The sequence below is a fragment of the Homo sapiens genome, chromosome 6, assembly GCF_000001405.40.
Source record: "Homo sapiens chromosome 6, GRCh38.p14 Primary Assembly".
NCBI classification, from domain to species: domain Eukaryota; kingdom Metazoa; phylum Chordata; class Mammalia; order Primates; family Hominidae; genus Homo; species Homo sapiens.
In genome coordinates this window covers 104,844,407-104,869,324 of record NC_000006.12, presented here as the reverse complement: position 1 = coordinate 104,869,324, position 24,918 = coordinate 104,844,407, and the positions used below count along the sequence as shown (strand labels likewise).

The 24,918-nt window shown below is 39.9% G+C and overlaps 1 protein-coding gene and 1 pseudogene across 18 annotated transcripts in view, besides 4 other annotated features; one reads left to right on the top strand and one right to left on the bottom strand.

Moving 5' to 3' along the window:
* Positions 7,981-8,870, bottom strand: LOC100422315 (poly(A) binding protein cytoplasmic 4 pseudogene; annotated as a pseudogene).
* Positions 9,226-9,725: an enhancer, noted in NCBI's record as "H3K27ac hESC enhancer chr6:105307475-105307974 (GRCh37/hg19 assembly coordinates)". NCBI's record gives its function as "activates a minimal SCP1, AML or CMV promoter by ChIP-STARR-seq in primed H9 embryonic stem cells {active_cell/tissue: H9 hESC(primed)}" and the evidence as "EXISTENCE:reporter gene assay evidence [ECO:0000049][PMID:30033119]".
* Positions 9,226-9,977: a biological region, named in NCBI's record as "H3K27ac hESC enhancer GRCh37_chr6:105307475-105307974".
* Positions 9,317-9,611: an enhancer, noted in NCBI's record as "tiled region #9880; HepG2 Activating DNase matched - State 1:Tss, and K562 Activating non-DNase unmatched - State 1:Tss". NCBI's record gives its function as "activates a minimal TATA promoter and a strong SV40 promoter by Sharpr-MPRA in HepG2 and K562 cells {active_cell/tissue: HepG2 | K562}" and the evidence as "EXISTENCE:reporter gene assay evidence [ECO:0000049][PMID:27701403]".
* Positions 9,348-9,977: a silencer, noted in NCBI's record as "silent region_17425". NCBI's record gives its function as "represses an Ori minimal core promoter by ATAC-STARR-seq in GM12878 lymphoblastoid cells {active_cell/tissue: GM12878}" and the evidence as "EXISTENCE:reporter gene assay evidence [ECO:0000049][PMID:35858748]".
* The window catches only part of HACE1 (HECT domain and ankyrin repeat containing E3 ubiquitin protein ligase 1), a 131,826-nt gene continuing 116,313 nt past the window's right edge, over positions 9,406-24,918 (top strand). For 15 of the 18 annotated variants that reach the window (NR_146787.2, NR_146789.2, NR_146790.2 and 12 more), the window contains exons 1-4: positions 9,406-9,758; positions 16,954-17,008; positions 18,329-18,418; positions 20,079-20,183. Coding sequence is in view for 5 of the 18 variants with exons in the window: in NM_001350555.2 (NP_001337484.1) it covers positions 9,683-9,758; positions 16,954-17,008; positions 18,329-18,418; positions 20,079-20,183 (326 nt within the window). In the remaining 13 variants the exon portion in view is untranslated. Of the gene's footprint in view, positions 9,759-9,778; positions 9,947-16,953; positions 17,009-18,328; positions 18,419-20,078; positions 20,184-24,918 lie in introns of those variants that run through there. The other 3 variants (NM_001321084.2, NM_001321083.2, NM_001350554.2) reach the window with 2 other exon arrangements.

Below are 24,918 nucleotides of genomic sequence, written 5' to 3'. Positions count from 1 at the left end.
ATGCACTTATTAACTTTGCGTGTCATGAGAGGTATTCGGATGTCTTTCTGTTCAGAGACTGTATTTACTGAGTAGCATGAACATCTTCAATTTACTAGGTCGTTTTTGAGTGATAGGAATCCTTTGTACGCAAATTCTTTATGAGATACGTGTTTTCTGAATATTTTCTCCTTGAGAGAATTTACCTATTCATTTTCATAATGGTATATTTTGCTGAGAAGAAGCTTTTAAGACGAATATAAAGTTTTTGCTTTTATGCTTTTTTACTTTCTGTGTCCTGTAAGAAGTCTTTGACTTCTCCCAGGTCATGAAAATAGTATCCTATGCTTTATTCTAGAAGCTTTATAGTTAGCTCTTATGTTCAGATTTATGATCCTTTTTGAATTAATTTGTGTGTGATGTGATGTAGGAATTGAGGTGTTTTCTTCTCCCAAATGAATATACAACTATTCCAGAATCATTTTCACTCAGTAGGACTTCCAGTACAATGTTGTATAGAAGTAATGAAAACAGATATTGTTGCCTTATTCCTGGTTTTAGAAAGAAAGCAATCAATATTTTACCATAAATATAATGCACAGAGAGAGAGAGACAGGAGAGGGATGGAGAGAGAGAGAGAGAGAGAGGTTCTTGTCCTCAGAAGAGTAAGAAAGCTTTTTTTCCAGAAAGTTCTCAGCAACTTCTCTCCATTTCTCATTGATCTGAATTCTGAACTATCTACTATCAATAGTGGCCTGGGATGAGATTACACCTTAGCCACATGACCCTAGAGTCAGAGTTAGAGTCAGCATATGGGCAGCGCGGAAGTGTAGACACCTGAATGAAACTAGGACTTATAAATATACGTAAAGAGGGTTAGGGAAGAGGAGAGCTATTTTATAGAATAAAAGAGGCTTGAGGCTTTGCAATCATAACAACAAAATGTGATATGTGGGTGTTATTTGGATTCTGATTCAAATAAACCAGTTATTAAAAATGTCTAAGACAATTGGGAAAATTTGAACATTCTCTGGATATCTGACAATATCATTACATCTTTTTAAATATTTTATGTGTAGTAATAGTATTGTAGTTATTTTTTGGACTCATCTTACAGAGATACATAAGAAATGGTAACAAATGAAATGCTATGATGTTTGGGAATTACATTAAAATAACCCAGTGTGAGAGTATTGGGATATGGGCAAAATAAGATTGGTTGGGTGATGAGCATATCAGATTTCATTTTTGCTATTTTGTTTACTTTTTTTTTTTTTTTGAGACAGAGTCTCACTCTGTTGCCCAGGCTGGAGTGCCATGGCGTGATCTTGGTTCACTGCAAGCTCCGCCTCCCAGGTTCACGCCATTCTCCTGCCTGAGCCTCTCGAGTAGCTGGGACTACAGGCGCCTGCCACCACACCCAGCTAATTTTTTGTGTTTTTAGTAGAGATGGGGTTTCACTGTGTTAGCCAGGATGGTCTCGATCTCCTGACCTTGTGATCCACCCGCCTCAGCCTCCCAAAGTGCTGGGATTACAGCGTGAGCCACCGCACCCGGCCTTGTTTACTTTTATGTAGAAAATTCCTTAATAAAATTTAAAACCATCTACCTAAAAAAATGAAAATAGGGACTGTCACCAAAAATAGGGAGACAATGTTTTGGAGGCAACTGCAATTCCCACTCTATTGATCCTTTTCATTTATATTACTGTTTCTGATTATTTAAAATTATTTTATTTATTTTTACATATTTGAATAAGCAATGAATTTACAGAGGTAAAAATTAGAAGGATCTAAAAAGATATACAGTAAGAAGTCTCCCTCTCATGCGGGGCCTTGTTACTTCGTTTTCCGTCCCCATAGCTGCCCTCTCCACTTCTCTTGTAATCAGTGCTATCCTTTTATCATATACACCATTTTTAGTGGCTGCAAAATATTGCATATATAAACATACCATAACTTATTGAGCAATTTTCTTATTGTTAAACTTTTATGTCTTTCTTACTTATTTAGAGAGCTTTCTGTATTTTAGATCTTACACTATCAATAATTTCTCCTTCTCTGAAATATTCAATTAATTAAAATATCCTTGGCTGGGCGAGGTGGCTCACGCCTGTAATCCCAGCACTTTGGGAGTCCAAGGCGGGCAGATCACCTGAGGTCAGGAGTTGGAGATGACTCTGGCCAACATGGTGAAACCTTGTCTCTACTAAAAATACCAAAATTAGCTGGGCATGGTGGCACACACTTGTAATCCCAGATGCTCAGGAGGCTGTGACAGGAGAATCACTTGAACCCAGGAGGCGGAGATTGCAGTGAGCCAAGATTGCACCATTGCACTCCAGCCTGGGTGACAAGAGCGAAATTCCATCTAAAAAAAAAAATCCTCAATTACCTGGTAACTTGAAAAAACAAAACAAAAAAACCCCAAAACTTTCTCTCAACCCCAATCCCACTCCAGCTACCTTTCTGTTGCTCTTTTTATTCCACAGCCTGGTTCAACTATCAATATTTTACCAGGACAGACTGTCTGAACAATTGAGCCCTTCAGGAAGCGAACTCCCTTTGGGAGGTCAACCTGCAAGGATTAGTCTTGAACAAGTTGATGCTTCTTTTCTACTTTATATTATCTCCTTAGTTTCCAAACACTATCTGTAGAGTTATATCTCCAAATGTATATTGTAAGCCCAGAATAGCCATGTATGTCGAGTCATCTATTTGATATCTCCACTTCAGTACCTCAAAGGCACCTCAAACTTTCCATGACACAATCTCCTTTTCCATACCTGGTTCTATTCAGTGTTCTCTTTTCCCAGGAATGGTGCCATCATACATAAAATTGCATAATCCATTTTCTGTTTCCCATTTCTCATACGCAGTCCATCATTAGGTGTTATTGATTTTATTACAAAAATATTTCTCAATGTTATTTTGAAAACATTTTACTCTACTGACATAACCACTATGCTGTCCAAAAGACAATCATCTTTTGGACTAAATAGTAAGTAGCCCACAAACTATTTATTGCTTATCTATCCAACTGTCAATCTAATTCATTCTTCATCCTTCAGGTGGAGTAAACGTTTTCCTTCCAAACACAAATCTGATCATATTATTCCCACTTGCTTAAGATCCTTTAATGCCTTTCCACTGCTCTTATGCTAAAGGCCCTATCATGGCTAGCAAAGCCCCACATGGACTGCTTCCTCTCTCACCATTTCGTAGTGTACTCCCTTTTGCTCCTTGACTTTCAATGACATAACCAAAATACAACTTTCTTTAGATTCCTTGAACATTTCATGCACCATAGGATCTTTGCAAATTCCATTCTCTCCATTGAGCACTTTTTTTTTTTTTTTGAGATGGAGTCTCGCTTTGTCACCCAGGCTGGAGTGCAGTGGCACAATCTTAGCTCACTCCAACTTCCGCCTCCCAGGTTCAAGCGATTCTCCTGCCCCAGCCTCCTGAGTAGCTGGGATTACAGGCACATGCAACCATGTCCGGCTAATTTTTGTATTTTTAGTAGAGACAGGATTTCACCGTGTTAGCTAGGCTGGTCTTGAACTATTGATCTCAAGTGATCCACCTGCCTCAGGCTCCCAACGTGCTGGGATTATAGGTGTGAGCCACCACACCCGGCCTCTTTTTTTTTTTTTCAAGCAGGGTCTCACTCTGTCACCCAGGCTGGAGTGCAGTGGCACAAACATGGCTCACTGCAACCTCATTCTCCTAGGCTTGAGTGATCCTCCTGCCTCAGCCTCTGGAGTAGCTGGGACCACAGAGGCACGCTATCATGTCTGGCTGATTTTTAAATTTTTTTGTCAAGACAAGGTCTCGCCATGTTGCTCAGGCTGGTATTAAACTCCCGGACTCAAACGATCCTCTTGCCTCAGCCTCCCAAAGTGCTGGGGTTACAGATGTGAGCTACTGCGCCCCACCAAGAATATTCTTTATCACCCTAGCTCCTTTGCCTAGATACCTTCTATTTATCTTTTGATTCTTAGGTTAAGTGTCTGTTTTTTTGGAAATCCTCTCTAGATGTTCCTAGTCTTTCACAGAATGTTTTTTCCAGCCTTTCAGAACACTTATCTCTACTTACAATTACATATCCGTGAGCATAATTATTTGAAAAACATTATTTAAGAAATATCTCTATTCCCCTCCTACAGGCAGTATGTTTTTTTGTTCACTAGGAATTTAGTAATACTTCTGTATAAATAAATATTATATTTATCTATACACCTTTGTTTCTATTTCAGGTTGTTTCTTTGGACTATATGCCCAGAGGTGAATTGAATGAATCAAAAGGTACACAACAATTCTTTTTTTTTTTTTGAGAGGGAGTGTCTGGGTCTTTGCCCAGGCTGGAGTGCAGGGGCACGATCTCAGCTCACTGCAACCTCTGCCTTCCGGGTTCAAGCAATTCTCCTGCCCCAGGCTCCTGAGTAGCTGGGTTTACAGGCACGTGCCACCACACCTGGCTAATTTTTGGTAGAGACAGGGTTTCACCATGTTGGTCAGGCTGGTCTCCATCTCCTGACTTTGCGATCCACCCGCCTTGGCCTCCCGAAGTGTTGGGATTACAGGTGTGAGTCACCGCAATCAGCCTGTACACAACATTTCTAATGGCTTTCAGTACACAGACAGTTAGATGTGTTAATAGGCGATGACATATTCTCCCCTAAAGAACCCATTAATGAATCAAAGATAATTTGGGAAAGTTTTAGGTTGTAATTTCAATGAGGTTTTTTTTTTTTTTTTTTGCTTTCTTTTGTTTCAGCATTTTAATCTGTGACTTCAATCCCTATATAGAGAGGGAGCTTGTCAAGTCTGCACATGATACACAGCACAGAAGATACCAGACAACTGATTAATAGATGCAGGACCCAGCAATATCTTTTCAGGTTATACTAATGACCTCAGGCTGGGTGCGGTGGCTCATGCCTGTAATCCCAGCACTTTGGGAGGCTGAGGTGGGTGGATCACCAGAGGCCAGGAGTTTGAGACCAGCCTGGCCAACATGGTGAAACCCCGCCTCTACTAAAAATACAAAAAATAGCCGGGTATGCTGGCGCTAACCTGTAGTCCCAGCTACTCGGAGGCTGAGGCACAAGAATTGCTTGAACCCAGGAGGCGGAGGTTGCAGTAGGGGTTGCAGTGAGTGGAGATCATACCACTGCACTCCAGCCTGGGCAACAGAGCAAGACCCTATCTCAAAACGACAACAATAACAACAACAACAACAAAAACTAATCAAGATGAAATCCAGCAGGACAAATGTAGGATCCTTCACTTTGATTAAGAAATTCTGTAGCATGGGTACTGGATGAAAGTGTAGTTTAGTGAGACCCGTGGCTGCCTCTCATTGCTAACTCCAAAGTCCCTTCTACTGGCTTATGTGTCCCCTGCATTTCCTGCCTCTACTTCCAGACCTACAGTCTGCTTTGTTTTTCCTTTGATAGCTTCCTCTGTCCACTCCATTTCTTGGGATTTTCAACCTACCCTACCCTGGCTTTGGCCATGGTCTTCCTAGTTGCCACCTCAGTGACACTGCTCTGAAGAAGGGCACTCGGATGCGTTGTATTTTTGTAACTGTAATATATGTGCTTTAAAAGGATGTGTATTCCCTCTTCATTAGTAGTGAAGTGAATGTTCACACGTGCCCTTTAATGAGACTTGTAGTTGAAGTTTTTTAATCTTCTGTATCTTTAACTGTCTTTTTCTGCTAGCTTTATTCGTTTCAGAGCGAAGGGTGTGAAAAATCTAGCACCATGGTGTGGAACTTATACTTGTAATTCTGTCAAGTGTAGCTTTATTTTTAGTCTATGTCTTTAGGTGTAGGTTCAGGACTAGTATAAACTTTCTGGTAACTCTCTTTGACTCTAATAATGTTTTTTCCTTTAAAATTTATTTTGCTGATATTAATATTGTTCATGATAGTTAATTTTCTGTGCCAACTTGGAGGGTGTTTTTGGAAGAGATGAACATTTAAATTGGTTAAAGCAGATTGCTCTCCATAATATGGGTGGGCTTCATCCAATCAGCTGAAGGCCTGAATAGAAGAAACAGCAAGAGGGAATTTTTCAGCAGACTGCCTCCAGACTTCATCTGTCTTACTAGCTGCCCTGGCCTTTGACTGGAATGGCATCATCAGGTCTCTTGGGTATTGAGACCGCTGGTCCAAACTGTAGATTTTGGATTTGCTAGCTTCCATAATCACGTGAGTCAATTTCTGATAATAAATCTCTTTCTCTCTCCATATATATACACACATTCTACTGGTTCTGTTTCTCTAGAGAACCCTGATATATTTTTATATCACATTTATTTGGCTAATATTTTCTATGGTATCCCTTTTTTCCATTTCCTTTTGGAAATGGTGGTCCCTTAGAAACAGCAAATAGCTGTTTTATTTGATCTTTTCAGATGTAAGAAATAAATCAGATCAAGTACAAATTGCGATCCAGGATATTTTGAGTCAGTGTTGAGAAGCTTGCCTTACTGCATTTCCCGTACAGTTTATAAAGCGTAAAGATGAAGTACTTTGGCCTTTTTTCATGATTGTCTGTTATACATTAATTTTTTTAGGGAAACTATTTAAGCTGATTTGTCTATAGCTGATTGGCTTAGTTTCACTGAATCATGCTGACAAGGATATAAACCTTGCGTTTTGTGTTTATTATTACAGATGGTGTTTTGGGGAAATGAGGATGATGAGTTTTGGTTTGTGGTTATACACAGTTGGACTTGGGTATATCTAAACTGTGGCCTCCATTTTTATTTTTCTTTAACACACTATCTAAGACCTCTATGTTTTAGAGTAAACATTGAGTTTACTCTGTTTATATTTTCTGTGACCATGGATATATTTAGATTTATTTCTACTGCTACTTTATGTTTTGTTTTTATGACCATTTTTCTTTGCTTCCCACCCATTTCCTGCCTTTTGTTGAACAGATTGTTTTTCTCTTCTCTTTCCCTTAATGCTTGGGAATCTTCAATAAAACCAATTTCCAGGAAGAAAAAAATACCAGATATACAAAAAAGAAAGTTGAAACTGTCTGGGCCACAGAAGAACCTGGGTTATCATTAGTGAAAAACTCTACGCTTTTGTTAATGGAACTTATGATACAAAGTGCCCTTTTGAAACTTCCACTTGATGTTTTTGGTGTTGGTGACAGGTGAGAAAATCTACTCTTTAGCTAATAATAATCTATAAGAAGCTGTTTAGCTGTTTTGGTGTTCTCCTGGGCAGCTTTCTTCTTGGTGTGATAAGTTGCCCTGTCTAATACGGTAACCACAAGGCACATACAGCTATTTAACTTAATTAGTTTCATTACTTATACTTTAATACAAATTTAAAATTCAGTTGCACCAGCCACATTTCAAGCACCCAGTAACCCCATTTGGTTAGTGGATGCTATTTTGGACATTGCAGATTATAGAATATTTCTATCATTGCAGAAAGTTCTGTTGGACAGGAGGTGATAAGCTGATAGTAGTACTGCAGCTTTATACATTTTGAAGCAGAGCTATTGGGAGACGGCATCATATTGCAGAATTTGGAACTGACAATTCACATCAGCATTACCTGTTCCATTATCTTCTGCTCCTGTGGTGAACAGTGACCAGCATGAGATGCAATGCCCACCATGGAGGCTGCTGGGGGCTCCTACCCCTGCCCACAAACTCCAGGCTTGGTCCTCACAGGACGTTGGAGGTAATTTATATGGAGCAACAGCCTAGAGAGCAATGGTGATAACAGCAGCTGAGAGAAGCTGAGGGGCCAACTTCTGTACAGCAGTGGGAATCCTGACTTTTTGAATAGCATAAGAGGCCAAGCAAGACTGGAACATTTTTAGTTGAAGCCAGGTTGCAAATGGTTGAGCCTGGGCTAGACTGGTCCATAACGTCTGGTATTTCTTTCTTCCTTTCCTTTTTTTTTGAGACAGGGTCTCGCTCTGTCACCCAGGCTGGAGTGCAATGGCAGGATCTCAGCTCACTGCAGCCTCTGTCTCTCGGGTTCAAGCGATTCTCCTGCCTAAGCCTCCCGAGTAGCTGGGATTTCAGAGGCACACCACCACGCCCGGCTAATTTTTGTATATACATATTTTTAGTAGAGACAGGGTTTTACCATGTTGGCCAGGCTGGTCTCAAACTCCTGACCTCAAGTGATCCGCCTGCCTTGGCCTCACAAAGTGCTGGGATTACAGGCATGAGCCACTGCGCCCAGCCTCTGGTATTCTTTTGAAACTTTGACCTCTACCACCTTGTTGCCAGACTGGTTTAGGTATCATCTGATTAGGTGAAGATTACAGAGGTCTTCCCCGTGCCTGTGGCACCACTGGCACAAATGGTCACTAGCTGGAACTGATTTAGGACGGCACTGGCAGGGAAAACACATGCCAACCACCATCTGCCCCTTCATATCCTGAATGGGCAGGTGAGACTCTCTTTCACTTGGCCAGCCAACATACATCATCAACGTACATGTGCCCATTCATTTCAGGAACAGCTTTGTCTCTTTGAGGAAGAGAAGCTGAAAAAGACAAGCCTTTTGTTTCTCCCTCACTCCAGCATCATCTTGGCACTGGTAATATATCCAAGATATATTGGTGTTAGCCAGGCTCACATTTACCCCTTTGATTGGGTTAATTTTTTGAAGTTCCAACTTCTGTTGTTTCAAGTGTTCAACTTCTGTGCAGAGCTTATGAATATGATTTTTCGCCACTGAGTTCATTTCTTCCACAATGTAGGTATCCAAATTTTTTGTAACTTACAAAGTCAAATCCTTTGGATTTCCCACTAGGCTGTGTCATCACATAGACACTTTAGCATTGTACCAAATAAATGAAAAAATTTTTTCAGGTTGTCATCATTCATATCTTCCCCAGAGCTTTAACTTTGTGCTAGGTGCCTTGTTAAGTACAGGGATACAACACAGTTCAAGATTAAATGTCCCTGCCCTCATAAAGCCGCCCGGCAGGAAAAACAACTAATTAAGCTATTGTCAAGTTATTTACAATGAAGACAAAAGCACAATATGCTTTTGGATTTGTTTGATTTTATTACTCTTTAAGTTTGACATATGAAAATACCATACTTAAAACAGTTCATGTAGGGTACCTGAAACAAAGGCACTAATACAGTACTAGAAAGGTGGTGACGGATTTAAGAACAATTGTGCCAATTTCTAATCTGTTTTATAGTAAAGTTATAGAATTGGAGGAAACTGCTCCTGTACAACTTTGGAGGAGGGTAGGAGGAGCAGGGCGTGAGAATGCCTTTCCAGAAGCTTAGGAGTACGCCCAGTCGCTGCGTGGCTTCCCGCATACTCAGCCCTGCGCCCGCGTTGGCGTGGCCTGGGCGCCCCCAACGTGACTCCGCCCAGGGCGCTCCGTTCTGCCAGCTGGAAACTACAGTTCCCAGAAGGCCACGCGAGCCCGGGAGGGACGCGGCGGCGGGGGCTGCAGGAAAGGCGCGAGCAGAGGCGGCGGCGGGTGTACTGTAGGTGGTCGGTCCGGCAGCAGCCCGGCCCCCGGACGCAGGACGTGGCCCCAGGCAGCCCTCGCAGCTCAGTGCTCTAGCCGGGGCAAGCCCGCGTCTCCGCCTGCTGGACGGGCCCAGGCGAGATGTAGGGCTCTGGGCGCGGAGGCCGCCGGTGGGGCGGCTGATCGCGGAGGATCGCGGAGGGCGCGCCGAGGATGGAGAGAGCGATGGAGCAACTCAACCGCCTGACGCGCTCGCTGCGCCGCGCGCGCACCGTGGAGTTGCCCGAGGGTGAGCCGGGTCGCGGGGCCAGGCTGGCCGCGGGGCTGGGGGCGGCCAGTGGGGCAGGAGCTCCGGCCGCGTCAAGGTCGGGTGGAAAAACTAACTGAAAGCTGAGAAAACGCCCACTTTTACTTTCCAGAGCTGAGAGGCGGCCCCGGGCCCCGAACTCCCCTGGCCCGACGCTCCCACCCCGGCAGGTGGGAGTTTTCGGGAGGAAACTGGGTTGGTGGGGGTTCCGCTGCTGGGAGGAGCGAGACAAAGGTCTCGCAACGTCTGTCGATTAGGGGTCTTGGCAAAGGGGCAGGAATACCAGCCGGAGGCCCGAGACCCGGAGTCAGAAAACATCATAATTGCGGGTCATTTAACAGTAGCTGGGGATAGAGATGATCCAAAGATACTGTTTACTTTAAGCTGCATCGGGGGGCCAGGCGGGCTTTTATTTTTGTTATTTTTTAAAATGTGGGGCACTGCCTTGTTTTGATAACAGGCAAACAAAGGGTTGTCAAACATCAAACAGGTACTCTTAAAGTACTGTATGGGTAAACACAATATATTTTTCTTTAATATGCATGCCTGCCTTCATTCTTCATTTATTCATCAGACTAGTATTGAGTGGGCTAGCTGGTAACTAGGACGCATCTGCAAAGAGGAATAAGGCATGGTCCCTGAGGATCAGGACTTTTAGTTCAGCGTGCCAGGGTTCCCTCAGGACAGGTAAAACTCTGCTAATAACAAGGAGAGAAAATAAGCAGTTTTGTTTGCAGCGTCAGGAATTCAGACATTTTAGTGGTGATGGGAGACAGCAGTGCTGCTTCTAAGAAGCTTTTGGCTCTTTATGCCCAAGTGAGAGAAGGGTTGGGAGGAGGTTGTAGCTGGTGAATAGCTTTTTTCTTAATTGTAGTAGTTTATCTTACTTTTTCAAAACTCTCTTTGAATTGCTGCTGGGTGGTTTGTAGGATAGGGAAGGAGACCTTGGCAGACGGTCATGAAAGAAATGTGGGATTGGGTACTTTGGCGATAATTTTCTTTCCTTTCTTTTATAGAGATGAGGTCTCACTATGTTCCCCAGGCTGGTCTTGAACTCCTGGGCTCAAGTGATCCGCACCCTGCTCCCCCCAAAGTGTTGGGATTACAGATGTGAGCCACCGCGCCTGGCCTGGGGATAATCTTCTTGAAAAAATGGTCTCTAGTCTCTATTTAGAATTCAGATTTTGGTAACTAGATTCTAGCTTCAACTTTTTCTATATTTTCTTTCCAACTTCCACCTTTGAATCCATTTCTTAAGTGCTACTCTTACTTATTTTTCGTAGTCGAATTATTGGTATAGCTTTATGAAGACTACATGTATAATTTATATTGTCTAGTTTGAATCCCGATATTTTTTACATAAATGTGATTTAGAAGACTTTGATAATGTTACTTGGTTTTAAAAGTAATATAGTTTCATTGTAGAAAATTTGGAAAATAAAGAAAAATAGAAAAAAATATGTCATTTCACCATCCAGTTATAAACAGTGTTACCATTGTTATTTCTTTTTCCCTCCCTAACAAGTTAAAATCATGTTGCATATAGTCTTTTATTTTGTGTTTAGAAAACATCCTTTTTTTTTTTTTTTTTTGAGACGGAGTCTCACTCTGTCGCCCAGGCTGGAGTGCAGTGGCGCCATCTCGACTCACTGCAAGCTCTGCCTCCGGGGTTCACGCTATTCTCCTGCCTCAGCCTTCCCAGTAGTTGGGACTACAGGCCCCTGCCACCAGGCCCGGCTAATTTTTTGTATTTTTAGTAGAGACGGGGTTTCACCGTGTTAGCTAGGATGGTCTCGATCGCCTGACCTCGTGATCTGCCCGCCTCGGCCTCCCAAAGTGCTGGGGGATTACAGGCGTGAGCCACCGTGCCCCGCCCCAAATGTTTTTTTTTTTTTGTATTCTTCAATAGGCTTAATGACTTCAGAATTTCATAGGATGCATGTAACAAATGTTGAATCTAAATACTGTTTTTAAACTGATTTTATGAGAAACAGCTTTGTATTTAAGACATAGTCTGCCTCTAAATACTTCCTTAGGGTTAATTCTTACAAGAAGAATATCTACAATACATTTCTAAGGCTCAACATATCAGTTTCTCAACTTACTCCTTGGAAAGTTCCACCAGCAGTCCGAGAGTGCCCAGAAACTAGAGTATTATTAGTAAAAGTAAAACTTTTCCACATAGGCAAAAATGGCATCGTTTGCATTTGCTTTTCTTTGATTATAATGTTCATTTTGTTCCTTGAATTTAATTTATCTTTGTCTCTAAGCTCTGATGAGTCTTTGAATTCTCTGAGCTTGGCTCTTTAAAGTATATCATACATATAGGAATATATATATATATATGTAAATATATATGTAAATATATATGTAAATAAATATATATATGTAAATATATATATAACATTCCTACTGATACAAATCCACATTTGTGCTTACATTTTAAGAGCTGAATGGAAACTCTGAGATCTCTCTAAATTTAGAAAATAATCAGATTTTTTTTGCTTTGTTAGAATTCAGTAATCAATAAGCATCTAATTACAACAAACTATTAAACTTGTAAACTTTTTAGTCAGCTTGTACTCTAAAATTAATTTTGTTGCAAAGGTTGAAACTATAGATGTTTGATAAACTGAGTTGGATGCTATGTTTCCTTGAGATGATGAAAACCTGAGTATTACCCTAAGTAATGGAGTGCAGGTAGTTGAGTCCTCCTAGGCAGGCCTAACACAGGAATATTCTTGAGAGAAAAAGAGGTGAAGAGTAAGAAATTACTTTAGGGATATGGATTCTTAGTAGTGTTTAAAAGTTGGAGGCCGGGCGCAGTGGCTCACACCTGTAATCCCAGCACTTTGGGAGGCCGACGTGGGTGGATCACCTGAGGTCAGGAGTGTGAGACCAGCTGGCTAACATGGTGAACCCCCGGCTCTACTAAAAATACAAAAAATTAGCTGGATGTGGTGGCGGGTGCCTGTAATCCCAGCTACTTGGGAGGCTGAGGCAGGAGAATTGCTTGAACCTGGGAGGCGGAGGTTGCAGTGAGCCAAGATCGCGCCACTGCATTCCAGCCTGGACATCAAGAGCGAAACTCAGTCTCAAAAAAAAAACACATAAATAAAAGGAAGGTGTATGTTGTTAGTGTATGTAAAGTTTGAACTACTATATAGTGAATGCAGTTTGTTTAATAAAATAATAAAATTTGAGCCCATTTTAGCATATGTGATTGGGATAATTGTGTTTAAAAAAATTACTCCATGTGATGGTTTGAAGAGAAATTGTATATAATTAATTACTCTGAGCACCTTTTTTTTGTTAACAGTTGGGTTTTGAAACTGTAGTGATAAAAATGGCAAACATGTCTAATAAAGTGATAGATTAAACTTTTCTTGTCACCCTGGAGACTTTAATTATATACCTAATCCTGAAGGTGTCTTCAAGAGTAGACAAGGAAGTATCTGGCAACAAATTGTATTCTGTCCTTTCTTAGTATAGTATTTCTTGGATAGTCTTCTTCTAGCACCACAGTTGTGGTTAGATTTATTTCTTCATACTTACCTGTTAATGTATGTGACCTACTTTTTTCTTTAGGTTAGATGTGACTTAAGATGTAAATCTAATTTTTATCTAAAAAATAAAAACCTTACAAGTACAACCATTGTGAACCTTATTATGCTCACTAACGCTCACTTAAAATTATGCACTATCTTGATTTAAAGTTTATCTTGATTTAAGTTTAAACCCACAAATAACAGTGTTTTTTATGACTTTATTATGGGGTGACTTAATGGAAATTCTCATGGTTTAGAAGTTCAGATTTTTATTGGGACATGTATTATTATATGAACGATAAAGAATGTTGTCATGCCAAGGGAGGCTTAGTGTAGTATTTTCAACTCCTGGTGGTGACTCATTGGTAGTTTCTGAGAGCAATTAGTGGGTTGCAGTCAGCATTTAAAAAAAGAAATATAAGAGGATAAAACAGAGTCTATTTTACATATTAAGAATAGTATTCTATTGTAGACCTTCTGGTTATGTGGTATATACTGGGTGCATTGTAGGATATATTATCTTTTTATTTTTTATCTTTATTTTTTATTTTTTTTTCCGAGATGGAGTCTCGCTCTGTTGCCCAGGCTAGAGTGCAGTGGCATGATCTCGGCTCATTGCAAGCTCTGCCTCCTGGGTTCACGCCATTCTCCTACCTCGACCTCCCGAGTAGCTGGAACTACAGGTGCCTGCCACCATACCCGGCTAATTTTTGTATTTTTAGTAGAGATGGGGTTTCACCTTGTTAGCCAGGATGGTCTTGATCTCCTGACCTTGTGATCTGCCTGACTTGGCCTCCCAAAGTGCTGGGATTACAGGCGTGAGCCACTGCACCCAGCCAGGATATATTATTTGTAGAGGCTCTGGAATCAGCCACATAATGCCACTGTTACACAGCTTGTTACTTAACTAGTACTTCAGTTTTCTCATTTGTAAAATGAGGATAATAGTACCTACTTCATAGGGTGGTTGTGAGGAGAAAAGCAATGATACATGCAAAGTGTTTAGAAAAGTGCCTTTAAGATAATGGTTCTTAAATGTTATTAATAGGATTTATTAGTATTTTACTTTTATAGTGAAAAAGTTGTTGCATCTGCATACTGAACTTGTGAATGTTGCCAAGGACTAAATTGTTTTTCATGTATACACTCACAGTAAAATAATGAACAAATATGTGAAGGAATATTGATAACTTTTTTCCATTTCCCCTATAAATAGCTCAGTTTATATTTCTAAACATATGAATTATGTTTTTCAAACACAATTATAATACCATTACTAGAGCCAATACAATTAACAGTAATATTGTATTATCTTGAAATAAAATACCAAGTCCATATACAGTTTGTCCTCATCTCAAAAATTGTCTCAAAAATGTCCTTTTACAGTTTTTTTTTTTGAATCACTATCCAGATAAGGACTACATATTACGTATGGTTGATGTGTCTCTTAAGACTCTTAATGTATGACAGTTCCTCCTCCTTTTAAAATAAGTATTTTTTAAAGTAATTTTAAACTTACAGAAAACTTACATGAATAGCCCAGAGTTCCTCCCATGTAACTTCCACTCACCTTTCCCTAAGGTTAACATCTTGTACAACCACAGTACAGTTGTCAAAAATAAGAAATTAACATTTGTGTATACTATTAACTATACTACAGAGTTTGTTAAAATTTCACCAGCTTTCCCACTAATGTCATTTACGGATCCAATTCAGGATACCACATTGCCTTTAGTTATGTTTCTTTAGTCTCCTCCAAACTGTGATAGTTCTTTAGTTTTTCTTTGTGTTTAACGGTCGTGAGACTTTTAAAGAGGACTGATCAGGTGTTTTGTGGAATTCCCTTTAATTTGGGCTTTTCTGACATTTTCTCATGATTAGATTGAAGTTATGCATTTTTGGCAAGAACAGTAGTCCACCCTCATCTGCAGCTTTGCTTTCCGAGGTTTCAGTTGCGGGAGGCACAGCACAATATTTTGAGAGAGAGGGAGAGAGACCACATTCACATAACTTTTATTACAGTATAGTATTATAATTGTCCTAATTTATTATTTATTGTTGTTAATCTCTTACTGTGCCCAATTTATAAATTAAACTTTATCATGTAGGGAAAAAAATCATATACATAGGGTTTGGTACTATCCATGGTTTTAGGCATTGACTCGGGGTCTTGGAATGTATCCCCTGCGGATAAGTGGGGACTGCTGTACTGCAAAAGTGATGTGTCCCCTTTCAGTGGATCATATCAGTAACTATATGATATTGAGCATATATTATTTTTGGTGATGTTACCCTTTGTCAGTTGATTAAGATAGTGTCTGCTGGGTTCTTCACTATAAATTTTCTTTTTCCTTTGTAATTAGTCAGTATTTTTGAGAGGTACTTGATACTGTGTAAATATCTTGTTTCTCCTTAAACTTTAACCTATTAACTGAGCATCAGCATTAACTTTTAAAGGGCTGAGTGGGGGTTGTCAGGGTTTCATCTTTGTAAATAATTTATTAAAAAACATAAACCTCCAAAATACATTGAATTGAGAAATGACCCTTAGTAATATATAAAAATCAATTCAAAACACTAGCTAAAATGTACATAAGTATAATATGGCATCATAGATGTTGATTTTTAACCTTTTGGGTCATGTTTTTGTGAATTTATTGTGTAAAGGGTCTCTCTTAGCCTGTTTTCTGCTGATACAACAATACCACAGACTGGATAATTTGTAAAGAAAACAAATGTATTTCTCACAGTTCTGGAAGCTGGGAAGTCCAACAGTGTGGCACCAGCATCGAGTAAGAGTCATCCCATGGTGGAAGGCAGAACGGTGAGAGAGGAAGGGTGCTGAACTTCATTATAACTAACCCACTCCTGGATTAACAGAATTAATCCATTCATGAAAGAGGAGCCCTCATGGCTCAATTGCCTCCCCAAAGCCTCACCTCTTCACACTGCCATAATAGCAACCAAATTTCCAACACATGAACTTTTGGTAGATGCATTCAAACCATAGCACATATGAATAAAAATGTTGTGAGTAAAGTGGTAAGTACAATGAAGACTTCAGTGCTCTTTCATAAAAGCTTCTAAACTAATTTCTTTTGTAATAATATTGACAAGAAGCCAGTATTGTGTATATTTAAGGTTTTAAAATTATTTTAGCATATATATATTTAATATCCATATATATTTAAAATTCCCCCAAACTACATGTAAGTATGATAAAACATGATGCCTATAAATACCTCTTTGGAAGTAAAAGAAATTTCAATTGTTAAAGCTACAGAAAGGTTTTTGGATGATGATGCGCGGGCTACCATACTACACTTAGAGAATTGTTTTTTGGTGGATAATGGGACAAAACCTTCTGAAGAATCAGTCTTTAATTGTCCTTTTACATCCAGAAGCTAAGCTCTTTTGTAATGATGTAAAAGGGATAAGCAGTGGAGGGGATGAAAGATTCTTCACTATCGTAAATTCTGAAATACCTCTGGTATTCTGCATTATTCTTTCCTCCTTCTTCCTCTCCTTTTCGCTTTTTGTATAGAGTTAGGAAAATTCTAAACTAATCTTAAGTATCACCCCTTGCACAAAGTAGGGGATAAATGAACTCTTTGTTTTTTTTTACTCAGATAATGAAACTGCTGTTTATACATTAATGCCAATGGTTATGGCTGATCAACACAGGTGAGTGCTTGTTCCAAAAATTTTTGCTTTTTAAGAAGCATACATTGTTCTAAATGTGTACTGCATGCCCGTGCACGCGCACGCGCGCACACACACACACACACACACACACACACAGACAGTTTGGACATAGATGTTCTGGGGCAAGTTATTTAACTTTTCTGTTATAATTTTGTGTGTGTGAAATAAGGAATAAGATTTTCCAAGATCTATATGAGCTGTAACATTTTATGATAGATTTTCTTAATGAATATTGAAATACTAAGTATTTGGTTGGTCACTCACATAGAAAAATACATTGTCATGATTTCTTTTAGAGGTCACTACTGATCTTTATAGTAAAAGATTATGGCTGAGGGACAACTTATTTCCCTTATGTGCTACTTATTTTTGTGTTCCTTTTATTGATGTAGTGTTGACATTCTTTTACAGGGCCATATATGAAATACAATTATTTGGCTTTGTGAGGGGGTCTTTACACTTACACCAGTCAGCTCTGCCATGGCTAGCCATTGAATTTTTTGATATAAGAAGAAGAATGTAAAGAGAAACTATTTTGAAACAAGTTAAAAAAATTTTTTTTTTTGTTTTAAATTTCCTACCTGGTATAATTAAAAAATGTTTTTTGTCTGATTTTCTTTATTTGGCCAAAATTAATATAGCTAGGCTCAACTTTTGGCAAGGGGAGCAGCCAGGCCTACACCCTTTGTTTCTCAAGAATCTAAGGAAAGCTAAAGCCAGCTTAGTCTGTTGTGTGTCCTAAGAGCAGGTAACATAGGATTATCCAAGTGGCAGATGAGGAAACCTTCAGCACCAGCTTATTGGTCAAGGCGTTTGGTTTTTGGATGATACTGAGCTGGCTAACATACTAAGAGAATAGTGCAGTATTTTGTGGTGGGTGTGGGACAAAACCTGAAGAATCAGAAGAATAGCTAGGCCGGGTGGGGTGGCTCACGCCTGTAATCCCAGCACTTCGGGAGGCCGAGGCAGGCAGATCACGAGGTCAAGAGATTGAGATCATCTTGGCCAACTTGGTGAAACCCCCTCTCTACTAAAAATACAAAAATTAGCCGGGTGTAGTGGCATGCGCCTGTAGTCCTGGCTACTCGGGAGGCTGAGGCAGGAGAATTGCTTGAACCAGGGAGGTGGAGGTTGCAGTGAGCCAAGATCTCGCCACTGTACTCCAGCCTGGTGACAGAGCAAGACTCTTGTCTCAACAAACAAACAAACAAACAGAGCAGCTAAAGAGTTGTTAACTTGATTTATTATGTTTTTAAAAACTTTTTTTACACTTGATTCCTCATTTTTATTTTGGCATAGGTCTGTTTCTGAACTACTATCAAATTCAAAATTTGATGTCAATTATGCATTCGGACGTGTGAAAAGAAGCTTGCTTCACATTGCAGCAAAGTAAGACTAAAGATATTTTGAGTTAAACTCTGATCTAGGGCAAGGATCAGTAAGCTTTGAACAGCATTATCACACAATATTTCTGGGGAGAGATGAGAACAGACAGCTGAGTAGTTCTTTATCCTGTTTGAGCGCGTGGTGTGCTATCCGTTCTGTCTCTAAACTGTTAACTTTGGGATTGTATGTAAATCTCATGTCCCTCTTGTCTTTGTTTTATATCAGATGAGAGTAGGTTAGACATGGAGATTGTCTTTCCTGGATGTACTTACTGGTACAGTTCACCAAAATTTTCTTTTTATCCCAGCAATATGAGATTTTATATGCTGTCTGCAGATGAAGTCATTGGCTTTATATTTTTTACATAGGTGGAGAATGATTTTTATCTACAGTCTCCTGGTATGTAATCAATCAGTTAACTAATTGGTACCTATCCTCTTTTCAGGATTTAGGTAGATGTGTTGAAATTAATTTTTCATGAATAATTTGGCTTACGAAAGGCCAGAAGGTTGAAAGTATCATATGGTTTCTTTGAAGTATTTGAATTTCTCAAATACTTTATAATTTTCATAGTAGAATGGACCATCTTGAAAGTAGAGAATGTTTACTATTTGTGTCAGAAGTTAAATCAAATTATAGGTAAAAATAATGTGTTTAAAAGGCCATGCACAGGGGCTCACACCTGTAATCCCAGCACTTTTGGAGGCTGAGGTGGGTAGATCACTTGAGGTCAGGAGTTCGAGACCAGCCTCGCCAACATGGTGAAACCCCATCTCTACTAAAAATACAAAAATCAGCTCGGCGTGATGGCGTGCGCCTGTAATCCCAGCTACTTGGGAGGCTGAGGCAGGAGAATTGCTTGAACCCTGGAGGCTGAGGTTGCAGTGAGCCAAGATTGTGCCACTGCTTTCCAGCCTGGGTGACACAGCAAGACTCTGTCTCAAAAAAAAAAAAAAAAAAGGACGGGCGTGGTGGCTTACGCCTGTAATCCTAGCACTTTGGGAGGCCGAGGCGGGCGGATCTTGAGGTCAGGAGATTGAGACCATCCTGGCTAACATGGTGAAACCCCGTCTCTGCTAAAAATACAAAAAAAAGTAGCCTGGCATGGTGGCAGGTGCCTGTAGTCCCAGCTACTCGGGAGGCTGAGGCAGGAGAATGGCGTGAACCCGGGAGGCGGAGCTTGCAGTGAGCTGACATCGCACCACTGCACTCCAGCCTGGGTGACATGCGAGACTCTGTCTCAAGAAAAAAAAAAAAATGTGTTTAAGGCCAGGCATGGCGGCTCACACCTGTAATCCCAGCACTTTGGGAGGCTGAGGTAGGAGGATTGCCTGAGTTCAGGAGTTTGAAATCAGCCTGGGCAACATAATGAGGTCTCTTCTCTACAGAAAAAAAAAAAAAAAAATTACCCAATTGTGGTGGCTCATGCCTGTAAGTCCCAGCTACTTGGGAGGCTGAGGTGGGAGGATTGCTTGAGCCCAGGAGGTCAAGGCTACAGTGAACTGTGATGGTGCCACTGCACTCCAGCATGGGCGACAGAGCAAGACTGTCTGAAAAACAAAAAGAAAATTGTGTTTAATAGAATATTTTGTTTTTTAATTGAACTACATCAAGTATGGCTGTATGTTGAATGTATCTGAACTGTCTTTTAATATTGTTTTAGTTGTGGATCGGTGGAATGCTTGGTTTTGCTGTTAAAGAAAGGAGCAAATCCTAACTATCAAGATATTTCAGGCTGTACACCCCTTCATTTGGCAGCAAGAAATGGGTAACTATTTAGTTTTCTTAAGTGGCTTAAGTTGTATTATCAGTTATTCAAGGCACTTTGCCTTCGTTTGATGATTCCTCCCGCATCCCTGATATTTACCTTGGGAAAAACTAAAATAATGGTGCATATTTTATTTTCTATATTTTTTTTGTCTCTCAAAGATATTATTGATGATATTGTTCTTCTTTATAGTGGATCTGGGGTCATTATATTCAATTTAAAAATAGCTATCATATTTATTAATTTATTAGATTCTCACTAATTTTCTTCTTGAAAATATTATATGTGGAAGTTCATTATTACTTGTATTATAGTGACATTGTATTTTCTGAAAAGCATAATTTTCATCTCTATTTTAGTGTGCTTTTTTTCTGCTAATCTTTTGCCACTCCTAACTCCATGGCTCATTTTGCAAATTGCTTGTTTAGCTAATTTTATTAATGGAATTATACACAGACTTAATATATTGTACACAGTTTATTTGTAATTATTGTGAATGAGCTGTACCAGAGTAATCTTCTTAGATACTAGGGTAGTTTACTCCTTTTAGTGCTAACATTAGTTTTTATTTAGTCTGAGAAATCAGACCAAAATGATTGGAATTATGTTTAAAATGAAAATAAGTATTTTTTGATTCAGGACTTGAAGAACTTATATTTTATAAACTCTTTCTTTTTTTTTTTTTTTGAGATGGGGTCTCACTCCGTCACCAGGCTGGAGTGCAGTGGCACAGTCTCGGCTCGCTGCAACCTCTATCTCCCGAGTTCAAGTGATTCTCCTGCCTCAGCCTCCTGAGTAGCTGGGATTACAGGCACGTGCCACCACGTCCAGCTAATTTTTGTATTTTTAGTAGAGACGGGGTTTCACCATGTTGGCCAGGATGGTCTCGATTTCCTGACCTCAGGTGATCCGCCCACCTCGGCCTCCCAAAGTGCTGGGATTACAGGCGTGAGCCACCGCACCCGGCCTAAACACTTTCAAACACTGTAAAACTTCTTTATGGAGTCCAGGCCTGTAATCCCAGCCTTTTGGGAGGCCAAGGCGGGCGGATCATCTGAGGTCAGGAGTTTGAGACCAGTCTGACCAACGTGGTGAAACCCTGTCTCTACTAAAAATACAAAAATAATCCAGGCATGGTGGCACATGCCTGTAATCTTAGCTACTTAGGAGGCTGAGGCATGAAAATTGCTTGAGCCTGGGAGGCTGAGGCATGACAGTCGCTTGAGTGCCCGGGAGAGCTAGGTTGCAGTGAGTGGAGATTGCGCCATTGCATTCCAGCCTGGACAACAGAGGGAAACTCTGTCTCAAAACATCAAAAACAACAAAAAAAACCCCAAAAAACTTCTCTATGGACACGGTATACAAATGCGTTGTGTCTTTTTTTTTAATTACTCTTGAAGATGTTTTTGTTTCCTATTCTCAACTGTGCTTCTAGATATTTGAGTTGGCTGCCTAATAAGATGGATATGGAGCTAAAAATTGTCCATTACATCAATCCGAGGCCAAATTTTTGCGTATAAAGATTAAAACAGAGCAAAAAAGACAGCAATAGTGTTGCCTAGGTTGGACAGGGGAAGGGCATAGTCCTTTGACTCTTGCTGATCTGCTCCATTTCCTGATTTAGCATGTGAGCCAGTTTAATTGTCCACTGTTCTCATAGGTAACAATGTGCTGATTAAACAGTTGTTTTTATAATTAGCCATGTTAGATATCTTGTAATGTGTCACACCCAAGGTCATAGAGTAAATCATTCATTCCCTTGCTGAATTGATCTCAGGTCTAGGTACATTATTCCACGTGTTGATAGGGTATCGACAAAGGTCTTGAAAAGGTTACATGTAGAAAAATATCATAGTACTCTGTTTCAACAACTATGTTAATGAAAGGAGAGATTAGTGCAGAGCAGGGATAAACACTCTGCTGTCATTTCAGTAGGCGACTTAGTCATAAGACTTCAGTGTGAGGAGCAAGAAATAAGTCTTAGACTTGAAAGGCAGGATGTTCTTGGTCTGCTGAAAAGAATTTTCATGTACCGTTTTTTAGAAACAAATAAAGTGGCACAGAGAAAAGAAATAGTTTTGATCACTCTTTCTGTCAACAGTGATTGAAGACCATTACATTTTAAAGGTGAAGAAATATGGCAGATATTACATGATTCACATAGCTATTCAGCAAGAAGAAAAGGAATAAAAAGAATTCATGACCCTCTCTTTAATTTGGATGCCTTTCTGTTTCTATAAAGATTACTCTTGATATTCAATACTTAAATATTTTGGTTTTTATTATTTATTGAGTGGAAGCCTTGTACAACTTAGAGGTGCTCAATGTTTGCTAAGTGACTTGAGTACTTCCTGTAGTGGCTGATGTTTTCAGAAATAGCTTTTTACTGTAATTTCTTTATGAGTTCACATTTATCCACACTGAAGTAGAAGTCATAGTAGAGTTCTTCCCATTTTGTTGGTCAGTCTGCGTTTTGGGGCCAGCTTTTTGTTTTGTTCCCTCAGCTGTCATCAGATGGCTGCTATATTTCTCTTGGCTTGCTTTAGCATTTTTCTCTTTGCCATTAGTGCTGTATTGGATTGTCCTCCTTTCCAAAAGAAGCCCCATTAAGCTTCCACAGAGCACTTGGGTGACTGGTCCCTGTGTAATTTGGGTTGCCATAAGCTCCCTATAATTGGTGCAATATCTGAGCAGGAATATAGTTGCTTCCTTGTACAGGGGGATTCAGCATTGCTCATGCTTATATGAGAATGTTAAAAGGAGAGGCTTTAAAATTATTGTGTGTTCTTAGGTTGTGTTTTGGTCAGTTTTGAAAGAAGAGTTTTTCTTTATTTTTTAGGTGATTATGAGCTCATAAAGGGTAGGGCCCATGTGTTACATAATATTTTAGTTCTGTTAGCAAAATAGCTACTTATTTATTGGGTTGATTTGACTTATTCAGACCCTGGAAAATAGTAATAATGGTTGTTCAATAGAAAGATAGGATATATTTCTCTCCTACATTCCCTGTACCTTTTGCAATTCATTTTTGGAAGGGGAAGCATTATAGATTACTGCTTTTCTTCAACAACCCCTACCATAAACACTTTTTTGGGCCTATTTCCCTGGCTCATTCCTACCTAATGATTTATTTTGCCATTATTGGCTTAGGCCAGTGGTCCATAATAGGCTTCTGAAAGGTTTTAGAAATCCACCCATATAGGTATAGACACACGATCACACATTTAAACAATGTATTTATTTTAATGGGACTATCTGGTTTGTGGTCTCATGATTATTGAATATTTATTTCTTAAGGTTTTCCTAACAGTGTGTTAGATAAAGGAACTTTGTAAATGTTTTATCTTAAAAGTTTACCCAGAGTTGGCTGGGTGTGGTGGCTTAAGCCTGTAATCCCAGCACTTTGGGAGGCCGAGGTGGGCAGATTATGAGGTTAGGAGATCGAGACCATCCTGGCTAACACGGTGAAACCCCTTCTCTACTAAAAATACAGAAAATTAGCCAGGCATGGTGGCGGGTGCCTGTAGTCCCAGCTACTCAGGAGGCTGAGGCAGGAGAATGGCGTGAACCTGGGAGGAGGAGCTTGCAGTGAGCCGAGATCGTGCCACTGTACTCCAGCCTGGGCGACAGAGTGAGACTCTTGTCTCAAAAAAAAAAAAAAAAAAGTTTACCCAGAGCTTTATTTTCTTCAGTTTCTTTGATTATAATGCTAATTTTAAGTGATATTTAACTTCATTACAAGTACAAAAAGCAAGAAAAGTAACTTGTCAGTTGTTTTTTTCTAAAAAGTTTTATTCAATCAATGAGAATTTTAGCTATTGACTTACAAGATTGAATATTAATAATCAAAGTTTTATTGAGAGCTACTATGAGCCTGGCTATGCTTACTACTGAGTTGATTAAAGAAATATGATATAATCCATGGTATGAAGATATTTATGATCTAGTTGAATAAATAGTAATATATTCATGTATAGTATATACTCTGCCATTCAAAGTAATGGCAAAAACCACCATTACTTTTGCACCAACCTCATATTACATTACTACTATATTTATTATATAATATGTATACAATACATATGTATTTAACATATACACACTGTATTGTATGTATTACTGTTTACTCACTGGACTATTTACCAGTGAACTATACACTTAAAAATGGTTGTGATGGGGGCCGGGTGTGGTGGCTCACGCCTGTAATCCCAGCACTTAGGGAGGCTGAGGCAGGCGGATTGCCTGAGATCAGGAGTTCAAGATGAGCCTGGCCAACGTGGTGAAACCCAGTCTCTACTAAAAATACGAAAAATTAGCTGGGCATGGTGGCGGGCGCCTGTAATCCCAGCTACTTGGGAGGCTAAGGCAGGAGAATTGCTTGAACCCAGGAGGCAGAGGTTGCAGTGAGCCTAAATTGTGCCATTGCACTCCAGCCTGGGCAACAAAAGTGAAACTCTGTCTCAAAAAAAAAAAAAAAAAGGTTGTGATGGAGGCTGGGTGCAGTGGCTCACGCCTGTAATCCCAGCACTTTGGGAGGCTTGGGGGGGTGGGGGTGGATCACCTGATGTCAGGAGTTCAAGACCAGCCTGTCCAACATGGTGAAACCGTGTCTTTACTAAAATACACAAAAATTAGCCTGGCGTGGTGGTGCATGTCTGTAATCCCAGCTACTCGAGAGGCTGAGACAGAAGAATTGCTTGAACCTGGGAGGCGGAGGTTGCAGTGAGCCGAGATC